At 42.8% G+C, this 21,123-nt stretch overlaps 1 protein-coding gene across 23 annotated transcripts in view, besides 2 other annotated features; it reads left to right on the top strand.

Annotated features, from left to right (window-relative positions):
• The window catches only part of PCID2 (PCI domain containing 2), a 43,668-nt gene that overhangs the window by 10,385 nt on the left and 12,160 nt on the right, over window positions 1-21,123 (top strand). For 5 of the 23 annotated variants that reach the window (NM_001127202.4, NM_001353094.2, NM_001353092.2 and 2 more), the window contains 12 exons: window positions 21-94; window positions 1,042-1,107; window positions 2,063-2,104; window positions 3,160-3,214; window positions 7,310-7,413; window positions 12,725-12,800; window positions 13,798-13,939; window positions 17,055-17,155; window positions 18,054-18,127; window positions 18,243-18,368; window positions 19,196-19,319; window positions 19,998-20,749. In NM_001127202.4, coding sequence (NP_001120674.1) covers window positions 21-94; window positions 1,042-1,107; window positions 2,063-2,104; window positions 3,160-3,214; window positions 7,310-7,413; window positions 12,725-12,800; window positions 13,798-13,939; window positions 17,055-17,155; window positions 18,054-18,127; window positions 18,243-18,368; window positions 19,196-19,319; window positions 19,998-20,087 — 1,074 coding nt within the window. In that variant the 3' untranslated portion in view covers window positions 20,088-20,749. Of the gene's footprint in view, window positions 1-20; window positions 95-1,041; window positions 1,267-2,059; window positions 2,105-3,159; window positions 3,215-7,309; window positions 7,414-9,005; window positions 11,086-12,724; window positions 12,801-13,797; window positions 13,940-14,256; window positions 16,695-17,054; window positions 17,156-18,053; window positions 18,128-18,242; window positions 18,369-19,195; window positions 19,324-19,997; window positions 20,750-21,123 lie in introns of those variants that run through there. The other 18 variants (NM_001320657.2, NM_001320660.2, XM_047430479.1 and 15 more) reach the window with 11 other exon arrangements.
• Window positions 10,005-11,204: an enhancer, noted in NCBI's record as "CDK7 strongly-dependent group 2 enhancer chr13:113841395-113842594 (GRCh37/hg19 assembly coordinates)". NCBI's record gives its function as "activates an origin of replication core promoter dependent on BRD2, BRD4, P300/CBP, MED14 and CDK7 cofactors, with strong dependence on CDK7, by STARR-seq in HCT116 cells {active_cell/tissue: HCT116}" and the evidence as "EXISTENCE:reporter gene assay evidence [ECO:0000049][PMID:35650434]".
• Window positions 10,536-10,830: an enhancer, noted in NCBI's record as "tiled region #3704; HepG2 Activating DNase matched - State 14:Gen5', and K562 Activating non-DNase unmatched - State 25:Art". NCBI's record gives its function as "activates a minimal TATA promoter and a strong SV40 promoter by Sharpr-MPRA in HepG2 cells, with weak activation in K562 cells {active_cell/tissue: HepG2 | K562}" and the evidence as "EXISTENCE:reporter gene assay evidence [ECO:0000049][PMID:27701403]".

Below are 21,123 nucleotides of genomic sequence, written 5' to 3'. Positions count from 1 at the left end.
TTTTTCTTTTTTAAAATCAGATGGCCTCTCCAGAGGAGAAGTGTCAACAAGTCTTGGAACCCCCTTATGATGAAATGTTTGCAGCTCATTTAAGGTAATCTGTTGGGGAGGAAGAAAAACACACACATCTGGAAATTGCTGAATTAACTGGGGATTTTATCTTGCATTATCTTGTGCTTGAAGCAGTGAATAACTGACTTTGAAAAAGTGGGAAAATGCATTTGTAACTTCAGTTTGGTAAAGCCTGTGGAAATTGTAAACATCAGTTATATAATACTATTTTTAACATCACACAGTATTTAGCAGAGTGCCTGCTTAGTGGTCTTTTTAGTAGAGTTTGGAGCCGAACTGTTCACTTACCCTTTTCGTGGAAATATGTCTGTTTTTGAAGCTCTTTACGTTACTGGGAAAGAAATTAGAGTTGAGCAAAGCAAACAATGCTACTTTTTATGTACACTTCATATCTACTGTTTTATCTCTAAAGGATCAGTTCAGGCAGAAGATTGTGTCCTTATAGCCATGTGAGATTTGATTACTGTCTTTCAGAGCAGCCTGGGCTACAGGACCAGTGTGGGGTCTGTGAGCAGGAATGTTCTGTGAACCCCACAGGGTCTTTGGAAGAGTTGGGGCACCACCGTGTTCCTTGTAGTACAAAGCACCTGTGATTTCCTAGCTCTGTGCAGTGTGCGATAGGTTCCAGATTTGGCGATGAACTAACACTGACATTACCCAGCTGGGAATCTAGTTTGAATGTCATTGTCAGCCCCTGCTAGAGTGGAAGGGTCATACTATGTTATCAACATGTGTTACTCATAAACCTGCTGGTGCTAGGTCCTTCTGGGACTTGAAAGAGTAGTCTCCAAGCTTACTGTGGGACTTCCTCTTATCCTCACCTGTTTGTGTTCAGCCATTTGTGTGTTTCTTCCTTCACTCCTTTCATCCCAGGACCACTGGGACCTGTGCAATGAAGTGAGCTGTGTGGGCTGCATAACTAGTGCTAGGTTTTTATTGTGTGACAGCATGTTTCTGTTTCTCCTCCAGGTGCACTTATGCAGTGGGGAATCATGACTTCATAGAGGCATACAAGTGCCAGACCGTGATAGTCCAATATCCTTTGTCGTTCATGGCAGCTGTCCCGCATAGAACACATGCAGTGGATTACTTGGGACTTGAGACCCGGAAACACTGGGCCAGTTGCTCATTTCTGCAGTTAGAAAGGAATGACAGTGTTTTGGAACAGAAGCTCGTTTCAGCTCTTTCACTTGGGTACTTAAATTTAGCATGGATCTGAAGACTCGTGCAGTACTTAGTAAGGAAGAACACTGGTTAGGAAGAAGGATCTTACTCTGCTGAGAAGAAGAATGCTTTGTTGCCTTTAGTAAGGTAGTAAGTATATTTACAGGGACTGGTTAAGTCCTGTTGGTGAAATACCAGAAATCCAGAATTCAGGCAGAGATGGACAAGAGTGGCCTCAGATGTACATCGGCATTGAATTGTGGCAGCTGAAGACCTTAAATCAAACCAATTCATACTTCAGTCATTTAAAGGGTATCTTTAGTTACGGCCTGAGTCAGTGAGTGTGCTAAGGATTTGTATGTATCTCTAGATTTTGTCTTTTCGTTTTAACCACCTTGTTTAAATATACACAGAAGAGAGTTGGGCTATTTGCTCACAGCCTCCTTAGAATTCAAGAATTCTAGAGTTGATAAAATCAGCCTTATGCTACAGATTCTAAAGCACTTAAATATAACTCATGATCATCTGGGCTCAGAGAAACCAAATAAAATGTCAGAAAGGGCTGATTTTAAAAAATCTTGTAAGTCTTTTTTATTTAGGAGACAGTGTGTATGAAATAAGTGTATTTAGTATACTTGAGCCTAATGAGATACAGATATTTGTAATGTGAGCTTATACCTTTTTTCCTTCAAGAACTTACTATTGTTGCAACATAAATCTGCTCAAGGGTGATCTACATTCCTTAAAATTTAGATTCTTATTCTTTACTTTTATCGTACGTAGCATTATTTGAACTTTGTATGCCATATCTTCCTTAATACAGTACATCATTCTTGCGAGCATTCCAGGCCCACAAAGAAGAAAACTGGTAAGTGTGAACAGAAACAGCTGAATTAGCAAATGGCAATTTTTTTAGCAGAATCTTTTTACAAATTTGCTTTAAATAAATGTGTATTGTATTTTCCATGTGGATATTTGGTAATCAGTGTGTTGACATATGGTAATATCTACACAGATGAGTGGAGTCACAAATCTAGTAAACTGAAATGGTAGATCAGCCACATTGTTTGCAGTGTGTCTATGTCAATATAGTATTATTTTTATTTCAGATGTCCATTTCCCTAGATATTTATTAAATACTGTTTTTTCCTTCAGTTGTCAATTTTGAACTTTTGGTTTTAAACCTTAGATAAAAGAGGTAGACCAACTACGGTTCATTTGGGGTGTTCTAATACATAATAATGGTGGTATTTTTAAATGCCTTGCCAAACTAAATTTTATGATTTATTAACAAACTATAGGTTAATACTGAAATTTGTTTATACTGAAATAACCAAAGGCCTTTTGCAAACAAACCCGCCCTTTTATCTTTTTTTTTTTTTGAGAAGGAGTCTTGCTCAGTCGCCGAGGCTGGAGTGCAGTGGCGCAGTCTTGGCTCACTGCAGCCTCTGCCTCCCGCCACCCTTTTATCTTTTAACGTGAAAACTTGCACATGAAAACAGTCCAGTTTTGCCAGTTGGCTGTAAAAGTTGTTTTGTGACATTTTGTGTATTACATATTCTGGTTCCTGTTAGGAAATCTGATCAAACCACTTCTTTTTTAGTGGTGCTGTTTGGATACTGGTGGGAAGCTGAGGGGAGGAGGATATCCTGGGAGCCCAGAACTGAAGCAGGGCTGAGGTCTCTGACAGGGTTGGGGACAGGGGTGTGGAGCACCGCATTGTGGGGCCCCAGGATGATCAGGAAGTCTGAGGCCTGCAGCCTGCCTGGACAGAAGGTGAGGAAGCAGACAACTGTCAGAGTTTTGGATAAGTGCGGACTCCATTCTGGATAGTAGCCCTGGGTGTCCGTGTTCTTCCCACCTCTGGGGATGGAATCTTGGCCCACGTAGCCCCTCACACTTGTTTACTTTTTTGCCCTGCAGGGCTCTGCCTGTCATGTATGCAGTAGCGCTTGACCTTCGAGTGTTTGCCAATAATGTAAGTTTAATTTGCTGTCATTATTATTTTAAAACTAAAACTTGGTGACTATCTGTTGTTTAATTTCATGTCATTCTTCCCAGAAGTTTTGAGGAGCAAATTGGAGTTGAGATGTGTCTGGTATAGGGAGCAAAAGAAAGATATTGACTATTCTTTCTGGGTTAACACCAACAGATTTATATAAACATTTGCTCAGATTTCCACACTGTTCATATAGAGGGAGAGGTTCCATTTTGTGGTTAACCATTTATGGTATGTGTTATTTTTATGAAGTGAGTGGAACAACAACAAATGAGCTTATTCTGCATCTCTTCTACCTTTAAGATGTGGCCTGCTCCCCCACCAAAAAGAATTCAGCTTCATATAGATTTGGGCAGTAGGAGGGGGCTTCCCTGGGGTGAAGGGAGATCCTGGGTTTTATGGAGGCGACGTCCCCATGGGGACCCACGGAAGTCCCCATTATGGAGCAGCATTTGTCAACCTTTTGGTTTTAGGACGACCCCTTTACAGTTTTAGAAATGATTGTTGACTTCAGTTCCAGTCAGGATGCAATGGATTTCACCCTATTGTGCCTGCTAGAAACAGTTAAAACCCTGGGAGTTGTCAGGCCGGCATGGCTATGGGAGGTGGAGAGAAGAGGGGGATGGGGCTCAGAGTCACGTGTAGGGAGTCTCCAGGTTTCCTTTTTGTCTCCTGTCTGTCCTGGACTGGGCGCGTTAGAAACCTGAAGCCTTTCACCATCAGGCAGAGACAAAAAGCCCCAAGGAAACCAGGAGGCTGGGAAGACAGTCCAATCCAGCAAGACAGAACTCTGACCGTCACTGCCTCACTCCAGTGCCAGGCGCAAAGAAGTCAGCAGGTCCGTCCCACCCCATCTGCAAAGTGGTGCGGACTGGGGGTGGCCCAGGACCTCCACCCTGGGCTAGCAGTAATGAGGAGCTAGTCCCCCTCCCCACCAGGTGGATGTCAGAGGCTAAGCAGGGGACCTAGACCTCCCCGACTCAGTGGCTAAGGGGATGCACCTGTTTCTCTGCTTGCATGGTGAGGCCTGCTAAACAAGATAAATAAAGTCCATAGTCTCGTCAGGTAGTGCCTCAAATGTCCGGGATCTAATCGACACTGATTACCAGGAAAATCTCAACTTTCAGAGATTTCAAATGAGAAAAAACATTCAGCAGAAGACACCAAGGCTGAGATTGTACAAATGTTGGAATTATGTGACAAGAGTTTTAAACAGCCCTCTTGATTCAGCAAGCAATTTAGAACATGCTTGAAACAAATGAAAACATTTAAAGTCTCAACAAGGAAATAGGCGATATAAAGAAGAACCAAATGGAAATTTTAGAACTGAAAAGTATACTGAAGACCTCAGAAAGCTTTTATTTTTGTTATATCTATTTATATTTACTGTATTAGAAATTTTAATTAGAAAAGATTTTAAAATATTCATTTTAAAGCAACAATAATAAACCTTTTACATGTAACATAACTGACTTTTTAAATAAAAAATAACTATATTTCCAAAACAAAATACTAAGAAAAGTAGTGTCACATCACTTTTGACCTCTTTGATGTCTAGTTCAGCAGAGGCAATCTGGTCCCCTTGCCTGCTTCTGCACTTACTCTGTTGCAGTACACTGTTTTGAGTAAAGTGTTTCTCTGCCTGATGGTGAAAGGCTACATCACAAAGTTGTAGATGGAAAAGAGAGGAATATTCTCATAGGCTTTCCAGACCATTGAGATAATTCTTTGACTCTATATAGGAAAACTCCAAGAGGCAGTTTTTTTTTTTTAAAAAGGTTAGTTACAATGTGGCTTCTGAAGTGTACCAATAAACTTTTTCTACCTTTACACTGAAATCCACTGGTCTGCCTAAAGCACTGAATGGATTTCGTAATATCTTGTGTTAGTCATGTCTTAGTCCATTTGGGCTGCTATAAGAAAATACTATAAACTGGGTTGGCTTGTAACCAACAAGCATTTATGTCTCATAGTTCTGGAGGCAGGGAGGTCCAGATCAAGTCAGGGAGGTCCAGATCAAGTCAGGCAGGGAGGTCCAGATCAAGTTGAGTTTCTGATGAAGAGGGCCGCTTCCTGGCTCATAGCATCTTGCTGTGTCTGCACATGGTAGATGGGGCAAGGGATCTCTCTTTCCCATTCATGACAGCTTCACCTTCATGACCTCATCACCTTCCAAAGGCCTCTCTTCCAAACACCGTCACTTTGAGGGTTAGGATTTCAGCATGAGTTTTGGAGGGGACACAAGCATTCAGACCATAGCAGACCATTTGGAGTATATTAGCTTACTGAGCCATGCAGCACCTCCCAAGTGCTGATATACCACTGTTAAAAACCCAACCCCCAAACCCCTACCTTCCTTAACATCTCCAGGGGCCTCATCAGAAAAGCCTTGGAGTAAGGAAAAGCTGCTAAGCTCACAGTAGTTCATAAAAGTTTTCCAGAATTCTGGTTTTTCTTGAAAGCACAAATGTTGTCATTGGCAACGAGTACCATCAGTTGTTTGCCTGGAAGTGACAGATTTGTTCTATTCGTTTTGGAGAATATGGTCAGCCAGATGCCCAAGCCTGGGTAGCTGTGTCTGCCTGTCTTCTGTTCTGCAAGAAGCAGCTAGTTCAGCTCACAGCTCAGACAGCTGCCCAGAGCTTTTCTGTAAACAGCCATGAGACACCCGTGTGCAACAGAAGTGCTGTATGCTTCTCATTTCATCACAAAGAATATAAAAAACGTGTGCTCAAGGACCAAGATTTAAGAAAATTCATATTTACTGCATTATCAAGGACATTTTATTTATTTATTTAGAGATGGTCTTGCTCTGTCACCCAAGCTGAAGTGCAATGGTGCAGTCATAGCTCACTGCAGCCTTGAGTTCCTGGGCTGAAGCCTCCCACCTCAGCCTCCTGAGTAGCTGGGACTACAGGTCTACGCCATGATACCGGGCTAATTTAAAATTTTTTAATTAAGACAGAGTCTTGCCATATTGCCCAGGCTGGTCTCAAACTCCTGGGCTCAAGTGATTCTCCCACCTCAGCCTCCCGAAAGTGCTGGGATTACAGGTGTGAACCACTGTGCTTGGCTCATCGAGGACATTTTTTAAAGGAAACTAATTTTACTGGTTTGTTGATTGACTGATTGATTGCAGAGTGTCTGGTGTTTAAGAACGTGGTGATTACTTGCGTAGTTTGGTGCCGGTGGGAGCACTCCAGCATTTTACCTATTGCTGTTTTTGCACCATCAGTGCAAACGTTAATACAGTAAAAAAAGACCATAATGGCTTAGTGTTGTTGTGAATATAGTTTGAGCTGTGGGTCATCTGCAAGCCTGTTGCAGGCCTCGGGTTTGTGGAGAACACAAGTGGCAGAAACAGACTCTTTCTTCTTTAACCAAGGCCATCCTCCCAAATGCGAGGGAAAAGTCAAACTCAGTGATGACTTTAATATTTGTTAAACGTTTTTATTTCAAGTGTTTTGACTAGCCAACTTCAGGGACTGAAGAGAGAGCTTAGTTGCTTAGTAACATATGCAGTGCAGGTTTGAAAAATTGGTGACTGACTTAACTTGAAATAATTGAAGAAAGATTTGGTTTGTGAAAGAATTGGAGTAATACAGACTTCTCAATTTTTAAAAATATTATAGTACATGCTAGCTGATTTCTCCAGGATCTTTCGGGACTTTGAGTCTTAATTGTACCCATTTTTTGCTTCAAGAAATAAATGTTTTGGCTGGGCACAATGGCTCATGCCTGTAATCCCAACACTTCCGGAGGCCAGGATGGGAGGATTACTTGGAGTCAGAAGTTCAGGACCAGCCAGAGCAACAAAGTGAGACCCTGTCTCTACAAAAAAAAAAGAAAAAAATATTAAAATAAATTTTAAAAAAACAAAACCCAAAACTAGCCAGGCATGGTAGTACCTGGTTCCATGGTTCCAGCTCCTCAGGAGGCTGAGATGGGAAGATCAGTGGAGCCCAGGAGGTTGAGGCTGCAGTGAGGTGTGATTGTGCCACTGCAGTCCAGCCTGGACGACACAGCAAGATCTTGCTTCGGAAAAATGAAATAAAAGTTCTTATATTTTATTAGGCAGATCAACAGTTGGTAAAGAAAGGAAAAAGCAAAGTTGGGGACATGTTGGAAAAAGCAGCAGAGTTACTGATGAGCTGTTTCCGGGTCTGTGCCAGCGACACGTGAGTAAGGACTTGAGGACCGACCACCAGACGCTGTTGGTGGTGTTTTCATTGCAGCGTTCACCCTTTCTGGCCTGTGTTTATTGTTGACACATATTTCATTTCTACACATGCTATAATCCCACAACCATTGTTATTTTTGCTTTAAAAAGTTGATTGTTTTGTAAAGGAAATAAGAGCTGAGGGAAAAAAGAGTCTTCATTTGCCCACATTTGACCATGCCTGGAGCTCCTCTCTGCAGGAACCAGTTTCCGTCTAGTGCCATTTCCCTTTCCTGAGGCACTTTCTTCCACATTTGCGTTTGGTGAGGGTCTGAGGGCAGTGAATCTTTTAAGCTTTCATTTTTCTGAAACTCTCGTTATTTTTTTTAAGAAATGTTCTCTCTTTACCAGTGAAGAAGCAGCACTGATCACCTTCATTTTTAAGGCTCCATTTGCTACATGGAGTCTCGTGGGTTGACAGTTTTTTCCTTTTGGCACTTTAAAAATGTCATTCCATCTGGTTTCCTTTGCTTCTGATGAGTCCTTGCCATCGTTCCCTGTATAGAATGGGTCTTTTTCCTCTGGCTATGATTTTCTCTTTATCATTGGCATTCAGTAATTTGGCTCTGATGTGCATAGTTGGTTTTTTTTTTTTTTTTTAATTTCTTCTGTTTAGGGTTCATTGGGCTTCCTGTATTTGTAAGTTGATGTTTTTAAAAATTTAATGTTTTACATTCTTTAACTACTTTTGGCCCCATTTTTTCTCTTCTCTTTCTGGGATTTCAACTGCATGTGTGTTAAGTGCATGATATTATCCCTCACAGGCCGCTGTTAGTCTTTGTTTATTTTTTAATCTTTTTTTTTTTTGAGACAAGACTCTTGCTCTGTCGCCCAGGCTGGAGTGCAGTGGTGCCATCTCAGCTCACTGCAACCTCCGCCTCCTGGGTTCAAGCCATTCTCCTGCCTCAGCCTCCTGAATAGCTGGGATTACAGGCGCATGCCACCACGTCCGGCTACTTTTTGTATTTTTAGTAGAGATGGGGTTTCACCATGTTGGCCAGGCTTGTCTTGAATTTCTGACCTCAGGTGATCCACCCTCCTCGGCCTCCCAAAGTGCTGGGATTATAGGCGTGAGCCACTGCACCTGACCTCAATCCTTTTTTTTTTTTTTCCTCTCCTTCATTTTAGGTAATTTGTATTGACCTGCTTACAAGTTGACTGATCTTTTCTGCCATTATTTATTTTTAAATTCTCAACTTTCCGTCTGATTCTGCTTTAGAATTTCCATTTTTTCTTCTAAAACTCCCATCTCTTCACCAATTATATAATCACATTTATTTATGAGATTTAGGAAATTTTAAAGCAAAGAAAGATTATCAAAGGTATCCATATATAAATAAACAAAAAACTATTGTTCCCAGAGAGTAGTTGTTTTAGTCCTCTTGTGTTGCTATAAAGGAATACCTGAGGCTGGGGAATGTAAGAAAAGGGGAATACCTGAGGCTGGGGAATGTAAGAAAAGAGGGGAATACCTGAGGCTGGGGAATGTAAGAAAAGAGGGGAATACCTGAGGCTGGGGAATGTAAGAAAAGAGGTTTATTTGGCTCACAGTTCTGCAGGTTGCACAAGAAGCATGGTGCTCGTATCTGCTTCTGGTGAGGCCTCAGGCTGCTTCCACTCATGCTGGAAGACAAAGAGGAGCCCACTACATGGCAAGAGAGGAGGCAGGAGATAGAAGGGGAGGCGCCAGGCTCTTCCACAACCAGCTGTCTGGGAACGCTCACAGGAGCTCAGAGCGAGAACTCATTCATTATGGCAAGGACAGCACCAAGCCATTCATGAGGGGTCCACCCCCATGACCCAAAAACCTCCCATTAGGTTCCTCCTCCAACAACGGGGATCAGGTTTTAACATGAGGCTTGATGTGGCCAAAAAACCACATCCAAACCATAGCAGTAGCCCAGCTTCTCTTTTCACTCATTGTGTTTGTTGCCAATAAACTCTGTAGCCTCAAAAGATGGGAACTTTTCCTTTTGGGTGTTGTGGATCCCATCCATGAAACCGAAAGTAAGTGTTGAGCAGAGCAAGCTGTATGTAAAGGCCAAGGAATGAAGAAGCAGGAGTGTGGCTCACAAATCAACTTCTCTACTCCTGAGGGGTGAGGGGATTGAAATAGAGGGTTTCTTGAATGAAGGGGTTGGACATTGAAAGCAAGGGGAAGAATATTCATGGCTTTTCTGGAAATGGACGGTGAACTTCTGGGAGCTGAAGCACTGCCATCTTTTTGTCCTTTTACGGCGTCTTCCCGTCATTGTCATGGTGATTGTCAGCCGCTGTGGCACTGGTGGGAGTGTCACGGAGCATGCAAATGAGGTTGTAATGAAGTTGGAGGCCCTGCAAAGGCCAGGTGGACTTCCACTTAGCATCCTGCTGGTCTTAGCTGGTTTAACCAAGAGGGGAGCCTCTGACCTCAGGCATCCTATTGCTGAAGATAGGCAGAGTTTGAGTTGTGCAACTGTTCAGCCAAGCCTACAAGATGTATAGTGCTGTGGGGGTAACATGGCCTCCCTACCCAGCCTCGCTTCAGAACTTTCGTACCAAGGCTGGACTGTAGAAAAGTCCTTCCTATGCCATGGCACTTTCCCACTGAGGCCTCCCATGGGTGCCGTTTCCTTTGCTGGAAGGTTCTCCTCGACTCCTGGCAGTCTATACTCATTTAAAGGTTTCCGCCTTCTCTAAAGCCTCTCACTGCTGGACTTCACGGTGGATCAGATTTCCCTTTTATAAACATTCATAGCAGACTGTACATTTCTTTCACTGCGTTTACCAAACGATTTGATGGCGAAGTGCGTCAGGGCGTGGGCCTTCTCCATCACTAGCGTTCCTTGCACCCCAGGAGCTCAATCCGTGTTTCCTAAATGAATACTTGACATTTCGCTTGATCGTATATTTTTGCACAGCAGTGATCTTCACGACCTTTGATTAGGCAGTGGCTTCTCAGATACGACAACAAAAGCATAAGCAACCAAAGGAAAAAATTAATTGGACTTCATCAAAATTAAAAACTTTAGACTTCAAAGGACATTCTCAAAAAAGTAAAAAACAACCATAACCTAGCAAATAATACATCTGATAAGGGCCTAATATCCAGAATATATAAAGAATTATTACAATTCAACAGTAAAAAGACAATCCAATTCAAATTCTTTAAAATGTTTAAAGAATTTGAAAAATCTTCCAAACAAAATACGCAAGTGACCAGTAAGTGCATGAAAAGATGCTCAAGGTCATTAATCACCAGTGACTTAGTCACCAATGACTAATGCATCAGTCACTTGAAATGCACATCAGAACCTCTGAGAGCTGCCAGGCCACACCCAGTGGGATGACTGTAATCAGAAAGACGGGCGGCGCCAGTGAGGATGCAGGGAGACTGGAGCCTCGTACACATCGCCAGGGGAACAAAAACAGTGCAGCTGCTGTGCGGAAATGGGAAGGCAGTTCCTGAAAGTGGGACGTAGAGCTACCATGTGACCCAGCATTTCCACCCTGAGGGGACACTCAGAAGACAGGGCAGATCCCCAGTGACATCTCTTTCCCGTTGGGGTTTGCTTTTGTCACAGTCTCCAATAGAGGTCATCATTCCTGGTGCCAGACCAGCTACGATATTACCATGCGTGTAGCGTTTTACGTGAGTTACGGAGTACTTGTGTGTTTTGTTTGGTTTTTCCATAGCTCTTTGAAGTCATAGAACAGTATTATTATTTGTCTCCGTTTTCAGATGAGGAAAACGAGACCTTGAGAGACTTTTGTTTGAGGTCATGCACGTAGGGAATGATAAAAGTCATAGACCTGCTTAGAGCAGCTCACAGGCAGTTATAAAACAGGGTTTGATATTTTAAAATTGTATTTTTACATTATTTTAAGTGTTTCTATATGGACACATTTTGGTCTTTAAGAGTAATTTTATGTTCTGTGGCTTGTAAACCACCTGCTTGTTTTCTGTACTGGGCACTTTTGTATTTTTGTGCCTTGACTTTGAGTGATTTTATCATTTTGTTAACACCACAGAGTGTACTTCGTAAACCGAGATGGCGTGGCCTGCTACACACCCCCGCTGTGTGGCGCAGCCTGTGGGTCCTAGGCTGCGAGGAGCAAGAGCTGCACTAAATGCTGTAGGCAGCTGGAACACAGTGGGAATTATTTGTGTGTCTAAACAGATCTAAACACAGAAAAGATGCAGTAAAAATACAGTGTGAGACTCCGTAGGGCCCCATCTCACATGTGGTCAAGTGTGAGACTCCGTAGGGCCCCATCTCACATGTGGTCAAGTGTGAGACTCCGTAGGGCCCCATCTCACATGTGGTCAAGTGTGAGACTCCGTAGGGCCCCATCTCACATGTGGTCAAGTGTGAGACTCTGTAGGGCCCCATCTCACATGTGGTCATCTGTAGTTGACCGAAATGTTGTGTAACATGTGACTGTTTCCAGGTTAATTGCAGACAGTGGCACACCCTCCCCTAGGTTCTTCAGTTTCTGTTTTTTCAGTCTTTTGAGGTAAAATTTGCATGCAGTGAACTACCTACAGTATTATCTGTCTGCTTGCTGCTGAGGTATAGGACATGATTGCCACCCCAGAAACTTCCCTCATCCCTCATGTGGGGCAGGCCCTTTCAGCTGTCTGGATTTGTTCCACTGTGGGTTGCTTCCTGCCTGTTCGGTGACTTCATGTAAATGGACCACCACAGTGTGTACTTTTTGTGTCTGCCTTGGTGGGACTCATCCTCTTTGTGTGTTTTACTGGTTTGTTTTGTCGTACTGATGAGAAGTATTTTTCCATTTTTCTTTTCTTTTTTTGTTTTTGTTTTTTGAGACGGAGTCACGCTGTGTCACCCAGGCTGAAGTGCATTGGCCCGGGTTTGAGTGATTCTCCTGCCTCAGCCTCCTGAGTGGCTGGGATTACAGGCACACACCACCATGCCCTATTTTTCCATTTTTCAAAAACGGTTTATAACAATTAACTTTTACGCATTGTTGCTGCAAATGAGGCAGTTTTTAGCTGGTGCCGCGGAGGAAGGATGTTACTCAAGTAGTTAATTGGGATTTTCCTGGTTTGTTTTCTCTTTTATTTTTACCCATCAGGTAAGACATCTTTTTTCATAATGTTATTTTGTTTGATGAATATGACTTGATATGAATAAGTTGATATGAATATGACTTGAGCTTTGGGACTTACCTCAAGATATTAATTTGTTTAGGCAGTTTATTTTGTGATTTATAAATAAAATTTTTATTTCCTATGTAACTTAAAAAAAATTATTTCCCCATAGCCGTGCTGGTATAGAGGACTCTAAGAAGTGGGGCATGCTGTTTCTGGTGAACCAGCTGTTTAAAATCTACTTCAAGGTGTGCTTCTGTTTGAATCCTTTCTGTCTTTACAATTTTCGATTGTCCTGGGCTTCCCACATATCATATATATATCAGCTAGCCTCCCTGGCGTTGCTTGTGAAATGATCATAACCGTATTCCTAGTCCTAATAGCAAACATTTGTTGAATGCCTACTAGGTGCAAGGCACTATTCTGAATGCTTTACAAATGTCTTCCTGTTGACAATCAGCCCTCTGAGGTTAGCGCTCCCAGCCCCAGAGGAAACGAAGGCCCCTGTGTGTGAAGCAGCTGTCCCAGTGTGGTGGAATTGGGCTTTCAGTGCAGGCGGTTTCACTCCAGAGCGTTTTGTCTTCTGTGGTCATAATTAACTATGGAAAAGCAGGCACGTAGATGGATAGATGGATAAAGAAACCATTGCCACATAAAGTCAGTCAGGTGAAGAGCAGCCCATCACGTGTCAGCAGCTGGGACTTGTGCCTTCTGTCCAGTGCCTTCCACTCCTGTAGAGCACCCCACCTTCCTGCCGGTGCTGCATAAGCACAGGCTCCTGCAGGGCTGCGCCCCCTGGAACGGCTTCCCAGAGCCTCCACAAGCACGGGCTCCTGCAGGGCTGCGCCCCCTGAAACGGCTTCGCAGAGCCTCCACTAGCACAGGCTCCTGCAGGGCTGTGCCCCCTGGAACGGCTTCGCAGAGCCTCCACTAGCACAGGCTCCTGCAGGGCTGTGCCCCCTGGAACGGCTTCCCACTGCAGGGCTGCGCCCCCTGGAACAGCTTCCCAGAGCCTCCACCAGCATGGGCTCCTGCAGGGCTGCGCCCCCGGAACGGCTTTGCAGAGCCTCCCAGGGTGAATGCCATCTATGCTGGCTGCTCTCTGTTTTGGTTTTATTATATAAATAATTGTTATGATATAATAGGTTTTGTAATTTGCATTTTAAGGAGACATGCTTAGTAATTTGTTTTGCCACCTGTTTTTGTTGTTTTTAAATATTTTAAATGGATTGTTATTCATTATAGATCAACAAACTCCATTTATGTAAACCCCTAATTAGAGCAATTGACAGCTCAAACCTGAAAGACGATTACAGCACTGCACAGAGAGTAACATACAAATACTACGTTGGACGCAAGGCTATGTTTGACAGCGATTTTAAGCAAGGTATGTTGCTAATCTTTTTTTCCCAGTATTTTAAATAAGACATTGCATTCTGAACAACTTTGAATAATATAGTTTCAGAGAACACAATTACTGTATTTTATTTTTAAATGTGGACCAAGTTATATATACATATTTGACACTAAAGCTGATTAAAGGGAAATTATATTGAAGATTCTTAATCCATACTGGGTCTCTGAAGTGCATGCTGGAGTCTCACAGGCATTACAGACATCGTTTCTGAGTTCACTGAGCATGACTGTTCTCAGAATAGAATGTAAATCATTGTTTTCTTTATTTGCTTTTTGACCCTGTAATAGATGCTGGTTATGTTGACATAGGAAATGGAGATTAGGACAACATTTAGTTCAGCGACTGACTTCATGACCTACACATCCCGCATGGAGATGACTTAGAAGCAGGGGATATGCCCTTGGACCTGGTGTCAAAGCTCTCGTTTAAACAGCCTCGTGCAGTGTGTCGCTACCACAGAGCTCCTGTTTAAACAGCCTCGCACGGCGTGTCGCTGCCACACCTGACACTATTGTATTAGTTTACGTTGGTAACTTTCTCAAGAACAGGAAACTAGTCTTCTTTTTGTAATTTTTATCGGCTGTCACGGCATCATTCTTGGTGATCTCTTCTCTTGTGCTCAAACCAGACTTTAAACTCTTCTTCAGCTGTTTGTGGAGCACACAGTCCCAAGTACATGAAGCAACATAACTTTAGGCAATGCAAGATAAATAATAGCCCTTTCATAAGGACGCTCTGGCTTTTTATTCTATAGGCTTGTATAGACCATTTCCTTTCACAGTTTTTACTCTGTGGGCTTGTATGGACTGACCATTTCCTTTCAGTTTTTAGTAGATCTAGGGCTTTTAAAGAAGGGCTTTTCTTATCTGTCTCTTTTTTTTTCTCTTAATATGAAGCATAAAGGTAGAGAAGCTTTTAAATTCTATCCTATTGGATTTTATTAAGATACTGATTTTTTTTCTTCTGAGGATTCAGTAAGTGGTATTTTTGAATACCTAACATAGCCAGAAATTGTTATTAATATTGATGCGACATAGTCATAGTTTCTGACATCTTTAGAGCTAAAAAGTTTGTTTAAGTCTGTATCATCCAACCCTTTCGTTTGACTATAAAAGAAATAGGAAGCCATTGAGAGTGTGATGCTCTGAGATTACTGAGTAATTCTGTGTCCCCAAAAAGCCAGCGCTGGCCATAGATCTTCTGCCTTGTAGCTCGCAGAGATTTTGTTTTCCATTTTACTGCTAGGAATTCCTAGAGCCCTGATTGTATTTAAGTGGATAAAATGTCTGCAGAGATTGTGGTGATTTTCTTTCCTGTGATTTTATATTATTTATGTAAGAAAGAGTATTTGGAGTATCTCAGTTGTTGTATGTATACTTTTATTAATTTATTAATTTCAGAGATTTATACCCCTCTACATATTTTTGACTCCAACCGAAATATATTATTTGATGCAAAATGACTTAGGTTCCCTCAAAGACAGCAGAAAAATCTCAGCTTGCATTAACTATTAGAAAATGCATTTTTTGGCCGGGCGCGGTGGCTCACGCCTGTAATCCCAGCATTTTGGGAGGCTGAGGTGGGTGGATCACGAGGTCAGGAGATCGAGACCACGGTGAAACCCCGTCTCTACTAAAAATACAAAAAATTAGCTGGGCAACGGTGGTGGGTGCCTGTAGTCCCAGCTACTCGGGAGGCTGAGGCAGGAGAATGACGTGAACCCGGGAGGCGGAGCTTGCAGTGAGCTGAGATCGCGCCACTGCACTCCAGCTTGGCGACAGAGCAAGACTCCATCTCAAAAAAGAAAAAGAAAAAATGCATTTTTTGTACATCCAGGAGAATTTGAGATTACCTTGGGCAGTAGCAAAGGTACACTTTTTAGAGGCTAGTTTGCAAAAGTCAAACTGGCAGCTGGTGGGATATTGCAGACTCTCAGTGAATCCTTGTTCTTTGGTCTCAGCCCCACAGGGCTCCTCGTGGGTCATGGCTTTGTGGTTTGGAAGAGACGCTGGCCCCACAGCATTCACGCTCACTGTGCAAGACTGGATGTTTTTTGTGCCAATGTGGCCACATAGTTTAGGAGCAGAGGCAGTGTGTGGTCTCAGTGTGGGTTCCCTAGGCCTCGACCCAGACCCCAGGGCCTGCTGCTTCTGGTGACCCATTCTGCATAAGGGAGGGCCTCTGCAGCTCTGAGCATCTCTGTTCTCTTATATTTGGGACTTAATATCACTGTTCAGGAAGAACTTACATAAACAGGAACATCTCACTTTCCTAATTCTTGACCCAAACTCAGCCTTAGTGAAGCCTCTTCTCTTCACCTAGGGAGAATGTGGAATCATTGTCCAGAAACCCCTGACCCTTCAGCTTTCCAGCCTCAGGACAAGGCTCAGCTCCTGCCTGCCTGTTCTGAGAGTTCCTTGTTAGCATGTGCTGAACTCTTTGCAGGCCTGTCGTGCAGTTTGTGGGATTAATCTTGACAAATAGAATTACTTTTGTATTTTGAAATCTATTAAATTCAAATCTGTTTTTTAATATTGCTCTCAGGACAGAATTAATATGTTGTGTGTTAGTAATAATAAGTTAATTTTTTAAAGCATGTGGTCATTTAAAATGGAAGATATATGATCACTAATTATATGTTAAGCTGGAGGATGGTGTTTTACTAAGTTATTTTCATTGTTTAATTATGGGTGATTAAAATGTATTGTGGAGGTACATTTTTAAATATGTCTTTATATTTTTCATGAATGTAGAAATCATCTGAGCAGGGTCAGACTTTTAAAATGTTATCATAATGGTTTGCCAGCTGACCTTAGGCAAATCAGAATCTCTGTGAAAGTTATTTTCTTCAGTTTTCCTCTGTTAAGTAGGACTTCCCAGGCAGTTCCTGTTGAATTTGGGGGTATGGATTTTACTTAAGGAAAGTCATTGATCACAGAAATGAAACTGGGATGATATTTTTTGAGATAATAAAGGGAGGGGGCTTTTGCCTTTTAAATCAGGAGACAGTGGTAGAAAATGGAGCAGGAAGGGGCCTGAAGCAGGTGCGTTGGTCTCATGCGTGCTGGCTCTGCCTTCTTTGCAGCTGAGGAGTACCTGTCATTTGCCTTTGAGCATTGTCACCGTTCTAGTCAGAAGAACAAAAGGATGATTCTGATCTATTTGCTTCCAGTAAAAATGCTATTGGTGAGTGATTATTACTCCATGTTTATAGATCCTGGTGCTTTCACAAAGTTGACAGCTGATAGGTTTTTTTAAAACCTAGCAGACAGTCTGTAGTTGATCACAGCCTGAGCTGTGTATGAGCACACCCCAAAATAAAGAAGGCGCATGCATTGTGTGTGGCCCAAACCCAGAGCTTCATGCCTTACGCCTCCAGGTCCTTCTAGAAAAGCTCTCCCTGTGTCTTGTTTCCCTTAAAAGTATTTAACTCAAGAGTTTAACGTTCATGTGACAAAATAAGTACGTATCATTTGTATTCCTCCCTTAAAACCTAAGTTAAAAGCAGTGGATTCACCAAGAAAGAAAAATGTCATTTCACCCTCTCTGTGGGTATTTCATTTAGTTACTAAAATGTATTTTTGATACTTGAAATAACTGGTAAGTTAATTGACTAATGAGAAAAGCATTGCACACAGGTGGCTAAAGCTTCTGTAGCTCTGAATGGATTGTGATGGAGAAGCGCTGCTGTGGCCTTGCCCTCCTCACTTCTCACCCCATTTAACTGACAGCCAGTTTCAAATGCTTAGCTGATTCTTCTGGAAGCTACTTCCGTATGCCTACATCTCATGCTTATACTAGCATTTCTTCAGTTATCACTCTCCTGTTATAGAAATTCGAAGAAATGTGAGAAGGTCAAGATCAAGGTCACGTGTCATGGAATGACAAAAGTGTGTTGTACCCAGGTGTTCTGATTTCTAGACCTGTGTTGTTTTCCTAGTGTACTATGATGTGTTTAATCCATGGACATTCTAAGAAACTCAGGTTGCAATTTTCTTAAAACTTAATTCCTTGATATGAATATTTATCAAGGACAATTTTGTCAAAAATGAAAGCATTTTCATTCTGGAAAATTGACTCTTAGGGTCACATGCCCACTGTGGAGCTCCTGAAAAAGTATCACCTGATGCAGTTTGCGGAAGTAACCAGAGCTGTGAGGTAGAGTATGCCATCCTTCCTGTTTGGGGTTTTAAAAATGCAAGCCTGATGAGAGTTGACGTGCACGCTCTGTGAGAAACTCACCCTCCTTCTGACGCGCCTCCCCCCTCACCAGCGAGGGCAACCTGCTGCTGCTGCACGAGGCGCTGGCGAAGCACGAGGCCTTCTTCATTCGCTGCGGAATCTTCCTCATCCTGGAGAAGCTGAAGATCATCACCTACAGGAACCTCTTTAAGAAAGTGTAAGCATTTCCCCGGCACATTGGGCTCCCAGTGTGGCTCTCGGCAGAGCAGTCAGACATCCAGGGCTGTTGCAGTCTAAGAGAGAAGGCCACCGTGTGGGTGGGGTCGTTATCTTCCTTCCATTGTGTGGGATAAAATGAAGCCTCCGCCCACTGCCTCCTGGGGACCCTGCGCGAGACACGTGAGTAGCACAAGCTGTGCCTGGACTTGTGGGGGAGGTAAGCAGGTTCTATGTGAGAAGACAACTTGAGAACATCAGCCCTGAGAGCCGCGGTACCACATTTCATCAGAGCACACAGGACTCGCCACTCACTCCCCTCCCTTAGTGCTGACCAAGTAGCCCTCCCAGCCACTTCTGCCTGTCACAAAGGCAGATGCAGAGATCGTCATTCCTTTCCTCACACGTCTTCTGAGGCCTCGTCCCAGCAGGATCTCAGTTGTGTAAACTTCAGGCAAAGGCCAACTTTGTATAGAGCTGTGGGTAGCACGTCACAAACAGTAGGGACCCTATTTCGCTGAGTCTGTGAGACACAGCCCATTGTCAGGTGCTTCCTGATTTCAGGGAGATTAAAATGTGAAAAAAAAAACCGAACCTTAATGAAATACTTAGAAAATAATTAAAAATTGTGTTTGTACTAGTGACTTTTTAAAGATTGAAAAGTCAAATTAGATTTAATAGCTCTGAGAGTGTAGTTTAGAGTTTATCTAATAGGTGGGAATTTTTTTACTCCTTTAGAACACCGGCTTATTAAGAGGTGCCTTTTCTTGGCTGTGGAGTATTGCATCCTGTCGGTAACCACAGTGCCCTTCTCCTCCCCTCTTCCAGGTATTTGTTACTGAAAACACACCAGCTGTCTCTGGATGCTTTTCTGGTTGCCTTGAAGTTCATGCAGGTGGAGGACGTGGACATTGACGAAGTTCAGTGTATTCTGGCTAACTTGATATACATGGTGTGTGAGTCCTGGTTTTAATTTAAGCAGCTACTCACAGCAAGATTCAGCCCAGAATTTGAAGCTTCAGTGTGGTGGTGTTAAAATTGTTAAAAGGCCTTCTGCTTTTTTTTTGATAGAACTAATTTTAGCCCAGGAAATACCATTCACCAGGGCCTTAGGAGCATGAGGGGACGGATACTCTTGTATGTTTGCATATTCTTTACTGGCGGTACATCCCTCGGTATCTGTCGATTCTCCAACCCCCCTCGGATACCAAAATCCACAGGTGCTTCAGTCACTGATAGGACGTAGTATTTGCATATGAGCTATGCACGTCCTCCTGTATACTTTAAATTATCTCTAGGTTACTTAAAATACTCAGTGCACTGTAGATAGCTGTTGTACTGTATTGTTTAGGGAATCACGGCAAGGGAAGAGCGTCTGTACGTGTTCATTACAGATGCATTTTTTTTCCCCAAATATTTTCAGTCCACAGTTGGTTAGATTCATGGATATGAAACCCACCGTGGATATAGAGGGTTGATTGTATTTATTTTTACTCATTGTCTTCCCGCTGAACTGAACTGTGCCGCTCTTGGGGAAGAATGCTAATGCCAAATTAATTAGATCACCCAGCATCTTTGACATGACTCAGATCCAAAAATGTAAACGCATTCCTCCCTTTCTGCCCCGCAGGGACACGTCAAAGGCTACATATCGCATCAGCATCAGAAGCTGGTGGTCAGCAAGCAGAACCCATTTCCTCCCCTGTCCACGGTGTGTTGAAAGTACACGGAGCCCCGAGGACGGGTGAGCAGTTGTTTCTTTCCACTTTGGTTGTGCTGATGAGACCGGTCCGGTACTGCAACAAGGCTCCCTGAAGCCGGAACTCTTGGAGGCGCTTTTCCCAGGGATGCTGAGGCTGAGATTTTCAGCACACCCGAGTTAATCTCCTTCATTTGTAACTAATTTCAGCCTGATGAAAACCTGGAATTCCTTTTTCACAGACTCGGCTGGTTCTGGAGTCTTTGTGAGACTTCTTTGAAGGAGGCTTTGCGTGAAGGCTGCTCGGCTCACTTTTCCTAAGTGTGGTTCCTGAAGGCTGTCTTTGTAACTTTTTGTAGTTCTTTGTGTAAAAAGCGTATTCTGAATTTATACACATGGCATGTTCTTCATTATATCTTCCAGGATACATCTATTTTTATATATTAAATTTGAATGTGTTATCAAAATGCTTGGTTAACTTAAGGCACCTTTTTAAAAGCAGAATTTAATTTGATTTAAATTTTCCAGATTTTATAGCTTGCCTGTATGGATGCTCCTCAATTTATGATAGGGTTACATCCCAATAAACTTATTTTATTTGCCTTTGCTTTGTTGGTTAAAAAAAAATTTCTTTTAAAAAACCATCTTAAATTGAAAATACATTTAATACACCTGCTACTAAACATTATGGCTCACTCTAGCCTTCCTTAACATACTCAGAAGCCTCCACTCTTAGGCAAAATCAAACACAAAGCCGATTTTATTTTATAATAAAGTGTAGATGCCGGGCGTGGTGGCTCACGCCTGTAATCCCAGCACTTTCAGAGGCCAAGGCAGGCAGATCACCTGAGATTGAGAGTTGGAGACCAGCCTGACCAACATGGAGAAACCCCGTCTCTACTAAAAATACAAAATTAGCCGGGCGTGGTGGCGCATACCTGTAATTCCAGCTACTCAGGAGGCTGAGGCAGGAGAATCGCTTGAACCCGGGAGGCAAAGGTTGCAGTGAGCCGAGATCATGCCATTGCACTCCAGCCTGGGCAACAAGAGCGAAACT

The sequence above is a fragment of the Homo sapiens genome, chromosome 13, assembly GCF_000001405.40.
Source record: "Homo sapiens chromosome 13, GRCh38.p14 Primary Assembly".
Lineage (NCBI taxonomy): Eukaryota > Metazoa > Chordata > Mammalia > Primates > Hominidae > Homo > Homo sapiens.
This window is presented reverse-complemented; position numbering and strand designations above follow the sequence as displayed.